Source organism: Homo sapiens, chromosome 8 (genome assembly GCF_000001405.40).
Source record: "Homo sapiens chromosome 8, GRCh38.p14 Primary Assembly".
NCBI classification, from domain to species: Eukaryota; Metazoa; Chordata; class Mammalia; order Primates; family Hominidae; genus Homo; species Homo sapiens.
The window spans coordinates 85,648,486-85,664,222 of record NC_000008.11 but is presented as its reverse complement, the minus strand read 5'-3'; the positions used below and the strand labels follow the sequence as shown (position 1 = coordinate 85,664,222).

The 15,737-nt window shown below is 50.1% G+C and overlaps 2 pseudogenes, besides 3 other annotated features; both read left to right on the top strand.

Moving 5' to 3' along the window:
- Nucleotides 1,813-2,967, top strand: REXO1L1P (REXO1 like 1, pseudogene; annotated as a pseudogene).
- Nucleotides 1,976-2,745: an enhancer, noted in NCBI's record as "OCT4-H3K27ac-H3K4me1 hESC enhancer chr8:86573707-86574476 (GRCh37/hg19 assembly coordinates)". NCBI's record gives its function as "activates a minimal SCP1, AML or CMV promoter by ChIP-STARR-seq in naive H9 embryonic stem cells {active_cell/tissue: H9 hESC(naive)}" and the evidence as "EXISTENCE:reporter gene assay evidence [ECO:0000049][PMID:30033119]".
- Nucleotides 8,318-9,185: an enhancer, noted in NCBI's record as "H3K27ac-H3K4me1 hESC enhancer chr8:86567267-86568134 (GRCh37/hg19 assembly coordinates)". NCBI's record gives its function as "activates a minimal SCP1, AML or CMV promoter by ChIP-STARR-seq in naive and primed H9 embryonic stem cells {active_cell/tissue: H9 hESC(naive and primed)}" and the evidence as "EXISTENCE:reporter gene assay evidence [ECO:0000049][PMID:30033119]".
- On the top strand, nucleotides 8,650-9,785 carry REXO1L3P (REXO1 like 3, pseudogene; annotated as a pseudogene).
- Nucleotides 15,236-15,737: an enhancer, noted in NCBI's record as "OCT4 hESC enhancer chr8:86560715-86561216 (GRCh37/hg19 assembly coordinates)". NCBI's record gives its function as "activates a minimal SCP1, AML or CMV promoter by ChIP-STARR-seq in primed H9 embryonic stem cells {active_cell/tissue: H9 hESC(primed)}" and the evidence as "EXISTENCE:reporter gene assay evidence [ECO:0000049][PMID:30033119]".

Here is a 15,737-nt window from a genome sequence, read left to right as displayed (position 1 = left end):
GAATTCATGTTGCTCTGATGGGAGTCCTTTTCAGAGGATGTCTCATCCTTCTTAGTGCCTCAAACTAGATCTAGTTCAGAAAGGTTATCAGAAGTTAGGACAAGTTTATTTTAGTGCAAACCAGTGGAAATCCATGCATAGTTTCTTCACCATGTGCATTTTCTATGAACCTTTGGAAGACCACCTGTGTTGAACATTGCCCAAGTCCTGGGAGAGAAGTGGGTGCGGTCCGCTTCCTTTCCTCAATTTGCCCGCAGCGGCGGAGTGCACAGAGCAGGGAAAGGCAGCCCCAGAGGGATCCCGCCCTCCAGCATGCAGCAGACTGCTGGCCCAGTCCTGGCTCCAAGGGGTGCTGTGTGGGCCCAAGCAAGTTGACCAACCTCCCTGAACCTTAATTTAATCCTAGGTAGCCCAATTCCAGTAGCCATTATAGGACTGCCCTGCAGGGACAGTTACTTAACTCAGGAAAAGCAACCTAGCTCCAAGTTTAGCAACCGGGAGTTCCAGTTGATTCCATTAGCGCACCCCCTGAGGCATTCCCAAGCTGGAGTCTGGTGGAAGATGAGGCTCAGTGTGATTGGACTGAAGCACCAACCTATCAAGGAGAAGTCCCACCCAGTCTGCCCTGTGCCTATATAAAGGCGACAAGTGGCGGCCGCAGCACTCATTGAAGCCGCCAGTTGGGAGAGGAGCAGAGCCAGGTCGGTGCTCCCGAAGGCAGCAAGATGTTGCGAGCCACAGCTCCCTGCTGGTTCCCCCCTGGATACCCAGAAGCTAAGAAGGTGGCCGAGGAGGCGGCCCTGGAGGCAAGCCGCCATTTGGGAGGGGAGCAGAGCCAGGCCGGTGCTCCCGAAGGCAGCAAGATGTTGCGAGCCACAGCTCCCTGCTGGTTCCGCCCTGGATACCCAGAAGCTAAGAAGGTGGCCAAGGAGGCGGCCCCGGAGGCAAGCCGCCATTTGGGAGCGGAGCAGAGCCCGGCCGGTGCTCCCGAAGGCAGCAAGATGTTGCGAGCCACAGCTCCCTGCTGGTTCCCACCTGGATACCCAGAAGCTAAGAAGGTGGCCGAGGAGGCGGCCCTCGAGGCTCCAGAATTCCCACTGCCCTCTCATCAGCCTGCCCAGAGCTTCGGGCTCTGGGTGCCCCAGATGCACAAGCAGGCCTCAGCATTTGTGGACATCCAGGCGGAGCCCCAAAACAGGGGTCCGGCGGTGCCCCCAGCGTGGCCCAAGATGGTGACGGAGTCGTGCTACTTCCCTGCGCAGAGGGGATCGGCCTGCCGCTTGCCAGCCGCCCCAAGGCTGACAGAGAGGCCCTCGGGAGTCCGCATCTCAGCCCCCAGGAAGAGGAAGACGATCGCCCACTCTTCCAGCCCTTGCTTGGTCACAGGTTACACAGATGCCAAGAGAACCCGGGTGGCCAGCAGCAGCCAACGCTCCCGTGGCTCCAAGGTCGGCAGACAGCCAGGGAAGACGCGCAACAGGTCAGGGATGGCATGCAAGACCACCGCCACCACCAGCTCTAAGCGAATCGTCCGTCGTGCATCCTTACCGAGTTTGAGTTTGAAGAAACCCATTATCCTCCGAAGCTCTGGGTGCCAAGTCCCCACCGTCCTCCGCCGAGGCTATCTCCAACTGTTCACCGAAGAGTGTCTCAAGTTCTGCGCCTCCAAGCAGGAGGCCGAGGAGAAGGCGCTGAACGAGGAGAAGGTGGCCTACGACTGCAGCCCCAACAAGAACAGGTACCTGAACGTGGTCCTGAACACCCTCAAGAGACTGAAGGGCCTGACCCCCAGCTCCATGCCCGGCCTCAGCAGGGCCGCCCTGTACAGCCGCCTCCAGGAGTTCCTGCTCACCCAGGACCAGCTCAAGGAGAACGGCTACCCCTTCCCGCACCCCGAGCGGCCCGGAGGCGCCGTCCTCTTCACTGGCCAGGGGAAGGGGCCCGGCGACTCCTCCTGTAGGGTCTGCTGCCGTTGTGGCACCGAGTACCTGGTGTCCTCCTCGGGCCGCTGTGTACGCGACCAGTTGTGTTATTATCACTGGGGGCGGGTCCGCTCGAGCCAGGTGGCTGGAGGCCGGGTTAGCCAGTACACCTGCTGTGCAGCTGCTCCTGGCTCTGTGGGCTGCCAGGTGGCAAAGCAGCACGTGCGGGACGGCCGCAAGGAGAGCCTCGATGGCTTCGTGGAGACCTTCAAGAAAGAGTTGTCCAGAGACGCTTATCCAGGAATCTACGCCTTGGACTGTGAGATGTGCTACACCACGCATGGCCTAGAGCTGACCCGCGTCACCGTGGTGGACGCCGACATGCGAGTGGTGTACGACACCTTCGTCAAGCCCGACAACGAGATCGTGGACTACAACACCAGGTTTTCCGGAGTCACCGAGGCCGACGTCGCCAAGACGAGCATCACGTTGCCCCAAGTCCAAGCCATCCTGCTGAGCTTTTTCAGCGCCCAAACCATCCTCATCGGGCACAGCCTGGAGAGCGACCTGCTGGCCCTGAAGCTCATCCACAGCACCGTGGTGGACACGGCCGTGCTCTTCCCGCACTACCTGGGTTTCCCCTACAAGCGCTCCCTCAGGAATCTCGCGGCCGACTACCTGGCACAGATCATCCAGGACAGCCAGGACGGCCACAACTCCAGCGAGGACGCAAGCGCCTGCCTGCAGCTGGTGATGTGGAAGGTCCGACAGCGCGCCCAGATCCAGCCACGCCACCGGTCCGCCTCTCCCGCCGCCCTGGCCTGTCCTTAGCCCCAGGCCTCTTCCAAAACCGCCATCAGTCCCGAGAGCTCACCCTGCCCACCTCGCCGCAAAGCGAAAGAAACTGGAGCAGCCGGCGGCAGGAGAGGGCAAAAAGCCAAGAGTAACCCCAACCCCCCACTCCCGGTCCCCCGGAATCCCTGCCGCGGCCCCTCGGGCCTGTCCACATCCCTCTGCCCCTCCCAGACCTCTGTCCTTCCACCAATCGCCTCCCGCAGCCCCGAGCCGCCACTCCCAGTCCCCCGAGTCCCTGCCGCGCGCCCTCGCGCCTGTTCACATCCCTCTGCCCATCCGAGACCTCTGTCTTTACACCACTAGCCACCCCACGTGGGACTTCCATGGCTTCTGAGTACAAGGCCAGCCCCCCGGCCCACCAGCTTTCGGAATGCCTGCTTACCTCTTTTTCTGTAGAGGCACCACAGGGAGGTGGGTGAAGCACTTCGGCTCTGGAGTTACAGATCTGGGTTCAAGGCCAAATTCCACCACTTACTAGGTTTGTAATATTGGACAGATAACGTCTTTGCGCTTCTACCTTTTGGTCTTTAAAGTGTGATCAAAAGAGACTTAGACTCCCACATAGTAATAATAATAATAATGGCAAACTTAACACCCCACTGTCAACATTAGACACACCAACGAGACAGAAAGTTAAAAAAGGATATCCGGGAATTGAACTCAGCTCTGCACCAAGCGGACCTAGGAGACATGTACAGAACGCTCCACCCCAAATCAACAGAATATACATTCTTCTCAGCACCACATCACACTTATTTCCACATTGACCACATAGTTGGAAGTAAAGCACTCCTCAGTAAAAGTAAAATAACAGAAATTATTACAAACGGTCTCTCAGACCACATTGCAATCAAACTAGACCTCAGGATTGAGAAACTCACTCAAAACCGCTCAACTGCATGGAAACCGTACAAGCTGCTCCTGAATGAGTACAGGGTACATAACGAAATGAAGGCAGAAATAAAGATATTCTCTGAAAGCAATGAGAACAAAGACACAACATACCAGAATCTCTGGGACACATTTAAAGCAGTGTGTAGAGGGAAATTTATAGCACTAAATGCCCACAAGGGAAAGCAGGAAAGATCAAAAATGCATACCCTAACATCACCATTAAAAGAATGAGAGAAGCAAGGGCAAACACATTCAAAAGCTAGCAGAAGGCAAGAAATAACTAAGATCTGAGCAGGACTGAAGGAGATAGAGACACAAAAAACGTGGGATGGTTTTTTAGTATGTGGAAAAATTCTTTGATGGTTTTTCCTTGAAAAAGTGAAACCTAAATCCACTCCGTTTGGATGTGGGACGATTTGCGGTTGTTGCTTCCTAAACATAAACTACGTTTAGGCTGATATTTCAGACAATGAAACCTTTGAGTGCCCGTAGCGGGAAGATCTCGGTTGCTGAGTGCAGGGAAGGAGGATGTAATTCCATCATATACTCTCTCTGTGCCTACCGCATTTGGAACCATGCGAGTGATACCTATTTATAAAATAAAATAAACCAAGCACAAGTACGAACTTAGCAACACTATATTGAGTTAATAGAACGGTATCTTGTATTTCTTCTGTCCAGGTATACTTATAAATGCCTGCAGGGATTTCACCACCTCAGGGTGGAGAGACTGAATGCTTGTGAGGGAATTAGGATGGTGGAATATTGGTGTTACCAGGGAAGGGGGCGGGATGTTTGAAAATGCTATGTTTACTCGTTCTTGGGTTCCAATAAAGGAGAAACAGGGCACAGGAGTCGGAAGGACTAGTGGCAATAGTGATGAAAGGACCTCCTTATCATGCTGGCAATGTTAATTACCCAGGTGTAGGAAGCCATACACTGAGGCGGAAGATCGCAAGTCAGAGTGGCCGGCAGGCACAACCTCCTGGCACACCAGAGGCAGGTCTTCAATACCCACTGGTTTCCCCAACAGGCTGCGTAAGGGACCCTGAGCCACAGTGAGTTGGTCAAATGCTCCTGACAGTGTGGAGAAACCAACAGACAAAACGTGGGTGCAAAAGTGATGAGACCCCACACTTTACACTCGTGGTGACAATGAAGCTATTAAGTAACAGCTTCTCAACCTATGCTGTTTCCTGTTGGATGCACATAATCCATTTGCACTGCAGACAATTTTAGGATGTGGTTTACAGTAAGGTGGATGGTACCTTATGGCAAAAATCTCTCAGAAATTTATGTGTGGTTTTAAAGTCATTCCAGTCCTAGCACGTTGTGCTTTTCAGAGACGCCATAGCTGTTTTTCCCTTTGTAATATCAAAGCAGTAATATGTTCTCTGGAGGCCTGTTGGGTGAATTTAATGGAATCAAGTTAAGTAGGTGCCAGAACCATTGCTGTTTTCCCTCCATAGCCCTGCCACCCACTGTAAAAAGGTTGATGAGATTACTTAATGATTTCCAATTAAGTTGTATTTCCAAATATCATGATTTCCATTTTAATGTAGTTGGTATGGAGCTCTGTGAGTGTGTGCTTCTTTTATTATGGATCACGTTCAGCTTCTTTTTATTTGCCTCCTAGTCATAATAGTAAAACTCTACTCCTCTACTCCGAGGAGTCCCTACCACCCATCTCATCACTTTCCAGCCCAGCACTCTTCATGCTCATTCATTTAAAGCATTCAACATTGTGTAAATGAATCTTGGAAGGCCAAAGCTACTGAATTTAGCGAATTTGTGGAGGCATTGCCACAAATCAGCCAGGTGAAGTTTCACACAATCGAAGACTGCACAACTCCTAGAAGGCAGCACTATGCTGCAAACCCAGACGGCCACTCTTCTCACCCCTCGTCCGTTTGCTGTTCTGGATAATGAGGTTCAAAAGTCACCTAGGCAACTGCCAAAATAGCTGAAATGGAGAAAGGGCTTCAGGCTGGTGACTAGCAGAGGTCCACCTGACCCCCGTAAGCTGCTGAACAAGTAGGGCTGCCAGAAATGTCCCACTAGGGAATTTGGTAGAGACGAAGACATGCTCACCGGACAAGGGTTCCTCCCAGGATACGCCCGAGCGGAAGAAGCGGGCTCTGAGCCACGCCCTTTCACCCTCCTCTACCCCGCCCTGGGCTGGTGAAGGTGCGCGCCAGGATGTGGACTACTGAGCCCTGAAGAAATAAGTCCTTCCACTTTGACCCCATGGAGGATTGCCTGTGAGGAACTTAAACGAGTCTACCAGTGTCTAGACACGGGGGCAGGTCTGTCCGGCACAGCAGCTCCCTCAAGGAGGAGAAGAGTGAGGAGAAAGGAAACTCAAGTCTCACCATTCTGTCCTGGGAGAGAAGAGGAGGATCTCATCTCTCATCTGTCCAAACAAGGCAAGGAGACTTTCTCTCATCTTTCCAAGCAAGGCAAGGAGACTTTTTATCATTAGGAAACAAAAAGAATTTAGAAGGAATGAAAGCAGCCCGTAAGGTGAATTCCTAAGGACTGCCCATTGAAACTGACAAAATTGCCCTTGTTTGATGAGAGGAATGAGCAGAGCATTGATGTGGTGAACAAGGATCTAGTGAGACTTTCCCAGCATGTTTCTACCAAAGCTTTATCTAAGCTTCTCAGAACACTCTCCTAATAAGCAGATGTTTGGCCTTTCAGAAAGTCAACAAGCAAAATGCCTTGAGTGTCCCAAAACACTGATGCCATGATGTGGGCTCCTGACTGGCCTCCTTTTCCTTTGACTGGACCGCTGCCACCTCTTGGTAGCCATCGCTTTCATGATGCTTTGCCTTGGAGATCATATTGGTGAAGCCATGTTCCAACTGCCGCTTACAATTTGTCAGAGGGATGCGTCAGGATCGTGATCCCTCCTGTTTAAAATTTCCACTGATAGCTCTCGTCGTAAATGCAGCTGATCTGGGCACAGTGGTTTTCACAGCCACTGCAGGATTCATCTTCCACATCTTCTCACCTCTTCTTGAAACAAGCTATACATTCGTAAAGAGTTCATTTCTTTGGGGTAGTGTCCTTACAAGCTTTTCTTAAAACGTCAATGATGTCTTCAATCTTCCACCCAAGCTTCACCATAAATTTGATGTTTCCTCTTGCTGCAATTTTCGTGGAATTCATGTTGCTCTGACGGGAGTCCTTTTCAGTGGATGTCTCATCCTTCTTAGTGCCTCAAACTAGATCTAGTTCAGAAAGGTTATCAGAAGTTAGGACAAGTTTATTTTAGTGCAAACCAGTGGAAATCCATGCATAGTTTCTTCACCATGTGCATTTTCTATGAACCTTTGGAAGACCACCTGTGTTGAACATTGCCCAAGTCCTGGGAGAGAAGTGGGTGCGGTCCGCTTCCTGTCCTCAATTTGCCCGCAGCGGCGGAGTGCACAGAGCAGGGAAAGGCAGCCCCAGAGGGATCCCGCCCTCCAGCATGCAGCAGACTGCTGGCCCAGTCCTGGCTCCAAGGGGTGCTGTGTGGGCCCAAGCAAGTTGACCAACCTCCCTGAACCTTAATTTAATCCTAGGTAGCCCAATTCCAGTAGCCATTATAGGACTGCCCTGCCGGGACAGTTACTTAACTCAGGAAAAGCAACCTAGCTCCAAGTTTAGCAACCGGGAGTTCCAGTTGATTCCATTAGCGCACCCCCTGAGGCATTCCCAAGCTGGAGTCTGGTGGAAGATGAGGCTCAGTGTGATTGGACTGAAGCACCAACCTATCAAGGAGAAGTCCCACCCAGTCTGCCCTGTGCCTATATAAAGGCGACAAGTGGCGGCCGCAGCACTCATTGAAGCCGCCAGTTGGGAGAGGAGCAGAGCCAGGCCGGTGCTCCCGAAGGCAGCAAGATGTTGCGAGCCACAGCTCCCTGCTGGTTCCCCCCTGGATACCCAGAAGCTAAGAAGGTGGCCGAGGAGGCGGCCCTGGAGGCAAGCCGCCATTTGGGAGGGGAGCAGAGCCAGGCCGGTGCTCCCGAAGGCAGCAAGATGTTGCGAGCCACAGCTCCCTGCTGGTTCCGCCCTGGATACCCAGAAGCTAAGAAGGTGGCCAAGGAGGCGGCCCCGGAGGCAAGCCGCCATTTGGGAGCGGAGCAGAGCCCGGCCGGTGCTCCCGAAGGCAGCAAGATGTTGCGAGCCACAGCTCCCTGCTGGTTCCCACCTGGATACCCAGAAGCTAAGAAGGTGGCCGAGGAGGCGGCCCTCGAGGCTCCAGAATTCCCACTGCCCTCTCATCAGCCTGCCCAGAGCTTCGGGCTCTGGGTGCCCCAGATGCACAAGCAGGCCTCAGCATTTGTGGACATCCAGGCGGAGCCCCAGAACAGGGGTCCGGCGGTGCCCCCAGCGTGGCCCAAGATGGTGACGGAGTCGTGCTACTTCCCTGCGCAGAGGGGATCGGCCTGCCGCTTGCCAGCCGCCCCAAGGCTGACAGAGAGGCCCTCGGGAGTCCGCATCTCAGCCCCCAGGAAGAGGAAGACGATCGCCCACTCTTCCAGCCCTTGCTTGGTCACAGGTTACACAGATGCCAAGAGAACCCGGGTGGCCAGCAGCAGCCAACGCTCCCGTGGCTCCAAGGTCGGCAGACAGCCAGGGAAGACTCGCAACAGGTCAGGGATGGCATGCAAGACCACCGCCACCACCAGCTCTAAGCGAATCGTCCGTCGTCCATCCTTACCGAGTTTGAGTTTGAAGAAACCCATTATCCTCCGAAGCTCTGGGTGCCAAGTCCCCACCGTCCTCCGCCGAGGCTATCTCCAACTGTTCACCGAAGAGTGTCTCAAGTTCTGCGCCTCCAAGCAGGAGGCCGAGGAGAAGGCGCTGAACGAGGAGAAGGTGGCCTACGACTGCAGCCCCAACAAGAACAGGTACCTGAACGTGGTCCTGAACACCCTCAAGAGACTGAAGGGCCTGACCCCCAGCTCCATGCCCGGCCTCAGCAGGGCCGCCCTGTACAGCCGCCTCCAGGAGTTCCTGCTCACCCAGGACCAGCTCAAGGAGAACGGCTACCCCTTCCCGCACCCCGAGCGGCCCGGAGGCGCCGTCCTCTTCACTGGCCAGGGGAAGGGGCCCGGCGACTCCTCCTGCAGGGTCTGCTGCCGTTGTGGCACCGAGTACCTGGTGTCCTCCTCGGGCCGCTGTGTACGCGACCAGTTGTGTTATTATCACTGGGGGCGGGTCCGCTCGAGCCAGGTGGCTGGAGGCCGGGTTAGCCAGTACACCTGCTGTGCAGCTGCTCCTGGCTCTGTGGGCTGCCAGGTGGCAAAGCAGCACGTGCGGGACGGCCGCAAGGAGAGCCTCGATGGCTTCGTGGAGACCTTCAAGAAAGAGTTGTCCAGAGACGCTTATCCAGGAATCTACGCCTTGGACTGTGAGATGTGCTACACCACGCATGGCCTGGAGCTGACCCGCGTCACCGTGGTGGACGCCGACATGCGAGTGGTGTACGACACCTTCGTCAAGCCCGACAACGAGATCGTGGACTACAACACCAGGTTTTCCGGAGTCACCGAGGCCGACGTCGCCAAGACGAGCATCACGTTGCCCCAAGTCCAAGCCATCCTGCTGAGCTTTTTCAGCGCCCAAACCATCCTCATCGGGCACAGCCTGGAGAGCGACCTGCTGGCCCTGAAGCTCATCCACAACACCGTGGTGGACACGGCCGTGCTCTTCCCGCACTACCTGGGTTTCCCCTACAAGCGCTCCCTCAGGAATCTCGCGGCCGACTACCTGGCACAGATCATCCAGGACAGCCAGGACGGCCACAACTCCAGCGAGGACGCAAACGCCTGCCTGCAGCTGGTGATGTGGAAGGTCCGACAGCGCGCCCAGATCCAGCCACGCCACCGGTCCGCCTCTCCCGCCGCCCTGGCCTGTCCTTAGCCCCAGGCCTCTTCCAAAACCGCCATCAGTCCCGAGAGCTCACCCTGCCCACCTCGCCGCAAAGCGAAAGAAACTGGAGCAGCCGGCGGCAGGAGAGGGCAAAAAGCCAAGAGTAACCCCAACCCCCCACTCCCGGTCCCCCGGAATCCCTGCCGCGGCCCCTCGGGCCTGTCCACATCCCTCTGCCCCTCCCAGACCTCTGTCCTTCCACCAATCGCCTCCCGCAGCCCCGAGCCGCCACTCCCAGTCCCCCGAGTCCCTGCCGCGCGCCCTCGCGCCTGTCCACATCCCTCTGCCCATCCGAGACCTCTGTCCTTACACCACTAGCCACCCCACGTGGGACTTCCATGGCTTCTGAGTACAAGGCCAGCCCCCCGGCCCACCAGCTTTCGGAATGCCTGCTTACCTCTTTTTCTGTAGAGGCACCACAGGGAGGTGGGTGAAGCACTTCGGCTCTGGAGTTACAGATCTGGGTTCAAGGCCAAATTCCACCACTTACTAGGTTTGTAATATTGGACAGATAACGTCTTTGCGCTTCTACCTTTTGGTCTTTAAAGTGTGATCAAAAGAGACTTAGACTCCCACATAATAATAATAATAATAATGGCAAACTTAACACCCCACTGTCAACATTAGACACACCAACGAGACAGAAAGTTAAAAAAGGATATCCGGGAATTGAACTCAGCTCTGCACCAAGCGGACCTAGGAGACATGTACAGAACGCTCCACCCCAAATCAACAGAATATACATTCTTCTCAGCACCACATCACACTTATTTCCACATTGACCACATAGTTGGAAGTAAAGCACTCCTCAGTAAAAGTAAAATAACAGAAATTATTACAAACGGTCTCTCAGACCACATTGCAATCACACTAGACCTCAGGATTGAGAAACTCACTCAAAACCGCTCAACCGCATGGAAACCGGACAAGCTGCTCCTGAATGAGTACTGGGTACATAACGAAATGAAGGCAGAAATAAAGATATTCTCTGAAAGCAATGAGAACAAAGACACAACATACCAGAATCTCTGGGACACATTTAAAGCAGTGTGTAGAGGGAAATTTATAGCACTAAATGCCCACAAGGGAAAGCAGGAAAGATCAAAAATGCATACCCTAACATCACCATTAAAAGGATGAGAGAAGCAAGAGCAAACACATTCAAAAGCTAGCAGAAGGCAAGAAATAACTAAGATCCGAGCAGAACTGAAGGAGATAGAGACCCAAAAAACCCTTCAAAAAATCAATGAATCCAGGAGCGGGTTTTTTGAAACCATCAACAAAATTGATACACCACTAGCAAGACTATTAAAGAATGAAAGAAAGAAGAATCAAGCAGATGCAATAAAAAATGATAAAGGGGATATCACCACTGATCCCACAGAAGTACAAACTACCATGAGAGAATACTGTCAACACCTCTAGGCAAACAAACTCGGAAATCTAGAAGAAATGAATAAATTCCTGGACACATGCAACCTCCCCAGAGTAAACCAGGAAGAAGTTGAATGCCTGAATAGACCAATAACAGGCTCTGAAATTGAGGCATTAATTAATAGCCTATCAAGCAATAAAACTCCAGGACCAGACGGATTCACAGCCGAATTCTACCAGAAGTACAAGGAGGAGCTGGTACCATTCCTTCGGAAACTATTCCAATCAACAGAAAAAGAGGGAATCCTCCCTATCTCATTTTATGAGGCCAGCATCATCCTGATCCCAAAGGCTGAGAGAGACACAACCAACAAAGAGAATTTTCGGCCCATATCCCTGAGGAACACCGATGGAAAAATCCTCCATAAAATGCTGGCAAACCGAATCCAGCAGCACATCAAAGAGCTTATCCATTATGATCAAGTGGGCTTCATCCCTGACATGCAAGGCTGGTCCAACATATGCAAATCAATAAACATAATCCAGCATATAATCGGAACCAAAGACAGAAACCGCGTGATTATCTCAACAGATGCAGAAAAGGCCTTTGACAAAATTCAACAGCCTTTCATGCCAAAAACTCTCAATAAATTAGGTACTGATGGGACATACCTCAAAATAATAAGGGCTATTTAGGGCAAACCCACAGCCAATATCATACTGAATGGGCAAAAAGTGGAAGCATTCCCTTTGCAAACTGCCACAAGACAGGGGTGCCCTCTCTCACCACTCCTATTCAACATAGTGTTGGAACTTCTGGCCAGGGCAATCAGGCAGGAGAAAGAAATAAAGAGTAATCAATTAGGAAAAGAGGAAGTCAAATTGTCCCTGTTTGTAGATGACATGATTGAATATTTAGAAAACCCCATCGTCTCAGCCCAAAATCTCCTTAAGCTGATAAGCAACTTCAGCAAAGTCTCAGGATACAAAATCGATGTGCAAAAATCACAAGCATTCTTATACACCAATAACAGGCAAACAGAGAGCCAAATCATGACTGAGCTCCCATTCACAATTGCTTCAAAGAGAATAAAATACTGAGGAATCCAACTAACAAGGGATGCGATGTGCGAAGGACCTCTTCAAGGAGAACTACAAACCACTGCTCCACGAAATAAAAGAGGACACAAACCAATGGAAGAATATTCCATGCTCACGGTTAGGAAGAATCAGTATCGTGAAAATGGCCATACTGCCCAAGGTATATTATAGATCCAATGCCATCCCCATCAAGCTACCAAGGACTTTCTTCACAGAATTGGAAAAAACTACTTGAAAGTTTATATGGAACCACAAAAGGGCCCCCACTGCCAAGATAATCCTAAGCCAAAAGAACAAAGGTGGAGGCATCAAGCTACCCGACTTCAAACTACACTACAAGCCTACAGTAACCAAACAGCATGCTGTTGGTTGCCTTTTTGGTTACTGTAGACCAATGGAACAGAATAGAGCCCTCAGAAATAATACGACACATCTACAACCATCGGATCTTTGACAAACCTGACAAAAACAAGAAATGGGGAAAGGATTCCCTATTTAATAAATGGTGCTGGGAAAACTGGCTAGCCATATGTCCGAAGGTGAAATTGGATCCCTTCCTTACACCTTATACAAAAGTTTATTCAAGACGGATGAAAGACTTAAATGTTACATCTTAAGCCATACAAACCCTAGGAGAAAACCTAGGCAATACCATTCAGGACATAGGCATGGGCAAGGACCTCATGTCTAAAACGCCAAAAGCAAAGGCAACAAAAGCCAATATTGACAAACGGCATCTAATTACACTAAAGAGTTTCTGCACAGCTAAAGAAACTCCCATCAGAGTGAACAGGCATGCTACAGAAAGGGAGAACATTTTTGCAATCTACTCATCTGACAAAGGGCTAATATCCAGAATCTACTAAGAACTCAAACAGAGTTACAAGAAAAACCAAACAACCCCATCAACAAGTGCGGGAAGGATATGAAGAGACACTTCTAAAAAGAAGACATTTATGCAGCCAACAGACACATGAAAAAATGCTCATCAACACTGGTCATCAGAGAAATGCAAATCAAATCCGCAAAGTGATATCGTCTCACACCAGTTACAATAGCGATCAATAAAAAAGTCAGGAAACAACAGGTGCTGGAGAGGTAGTGGAGAAATAGGAACACTTTTACACTGCTGGTGGGACTGTAAACCAGTTCAGCGGTTGTGGAAGATAGTGTGGCGAATCCTCAAGGATCTAGAATTAGAAATACCATTTGACCCAGCCGTCCCATTACTGGGTATACACCCATAGGACTATAAATCATGCTGCTAAAAGGACACACGCAGACGTATGTTTATTGCGGCACCGTTCACAGTAGCAAAGACTTGGAACCAGCCCAGATGTCCATCAATGATAGACTGGATTAAGGAAACGTGGCACAAATACACCGTGGAATACTATGCAGCCATAAAAAAGCATGTGTTCATGCCCTTCGGAGGGACACGGATGAAGCTGGAAACCATCATTCTTAGCAAACTATCGCAAGGACAAAAAAACCAAACACCGCGTGATCCCACTCATAGGTGGGAATTGAACTAGGAGAACACTTGGACGCAGAAAGGGGAACATCACACACCGGGGCCTGTCATGGGCGGGGGGAGGGGGAGGGATAACATTAAGAGATATACCTAATGTAAATGACTAGTGAATGGGTGCAGCACACCAACATGGCACGTGCTTACATACGTAATAAACCTGCACGTTGTGCACATGTACCCTAGTAATTAAAGTATAATTTTAAAAAAAATGGAAAACGAAAGTGTGATCCTAATGTCATGGTGCGGACTGAATGAAGCAGCACATGGCAAGCCTTAAAACGATCGCACATAGTAGGTGTTCAATTAATGTTAACTATATTTCTTTTCTATAATAGTTTATAAAGGGAATTCATGAACACTATGTGATTAATCCTTGGAACAACCCAACAGGTAGGTAAATAAAGCCTAATTTTATACCTAAAGAAACCGTGCGGCTTAACTTGCCCAAAATAATAATGATTGTAATGAGCACTGGCTGTTGGTTTCTTATGTACTTGGTACTTTGCACGTATTAACCCAGTCAGTCCTCCTAATAGTTGTGAGAGAGATAGCATTCTTATCCCCATTTTACAGATGAGGAACCTGAAGCCCAGGTGATAAGTAGTTTATCCAAGGTATCATAGCTAGAAGTCGGGTGCAGGCAGTCTGGCTCCAGAGCCCCTGCTCTTTCCGCTGACCTAGCTGACTTCCCAAGAGTCAAAGTGGATTCTTCCCCAAGACCAACCAATTACAATGACTGAATCAGTCAGTCAACTTCGAACTGGGCTCCAAGAGAGAACGAACCATCATGCCTCTCTAAATCCTCATTTCTAGTTTGAATCTTCAAGGAGAGATAGACACTAAGTAGCTAGTTTTGCTGGAATGGCTGATTTTATCAATGTTTTCGGTGTGTGAGTGTGTGTGTGTGTATATGTATAGAACTAAATTAAACTGATAATTTGAATGCTTACACTTCCATTAGTTCAATTTGTGTATGTGAGCCCTCACACACATACATACACACACACAAACTGTTCCAGAACAGTGACTTAGTGAAAAACTGGATTTCCACTCTGTCAGACAAATTTCGGAAAGCACTGAAGTAGGGCATTTCTGATTGATTTTACCGTTCCCGGAATTTTATTTTCCTTTATCACTTAGACCCCTTCTGTGGGGATTTAATAAATAAACGTCTTTTGTAGTGTATGTTATTTCATTTTATTTTTATAATTTATATGAATTTTAATTTTAACTTGACAAATAAAAATTATATATATTTATGGCATACAACATGATGTTTCATACGTGTATACATTGTGGAATGACAAAATCAAGCTAATTAACACACTCGTTTCCTCACATACTGATTTTAATGTGATGAGGACATGTCTAAAATCTACTCTTATAGCAATTTTCAAGTATACAATACATACTTATACACTGTAGATGCCAGGCTGTTCAATAGATCTCTAGAACCATTCCTCTCTGAAATTTTGTATCATGAGACTATCATCTCTCCAGTCCCTCCCTGACCCCTGCCTCGGGTAACCACCGTTCTGCTCTCTACAGCTATGAGTTGCATTGTTTGAGATTGCACATATAAGTGAGATCATGCAGTATTTGTCTTTTTGTGCTTGCTTTTTAAATCTTTATTATGTAATTATTTATTTTTTGAGACAGGGTCTCAGTCTGTCACCCAGGCTGGAGTACAGTGACACAAACACGGCTCACTCACCACGGCCTCCACCTCCCGGGGTCGAGAGTTCCTCCCGCTTCAGCCTCCTGAATAGCTAGGACTACAGGCGTCCAACGCCACACTTGGCTAATTTTTGTGTTTCTTTTAGAGATGGGGTTTCACCATGTTGCCCAGGTTCATCTCCAACTCCTGGGCTCAACGCTTCCACCTGCCTTGGCCTCCCAAAGTACTGGGATTACAGGCATGAGCCACCGTGCCTGGCCTTTGCTTTCTTTCACTCAGTGTACCATCCTCTAGGCTCATTCGTGTTGCCAATGAGATGATTTCTTTCTTTTTTAAGGCTGAATTGTGTTCTATTGGGTATATGTACCGCTTTTCTTTTTATGTTTAATTTTTTTTGGTTTTTTGAGACAGAGTTTCGCTCGCGTCGCCCAGGCTGGAGTGCAGTGGCGTG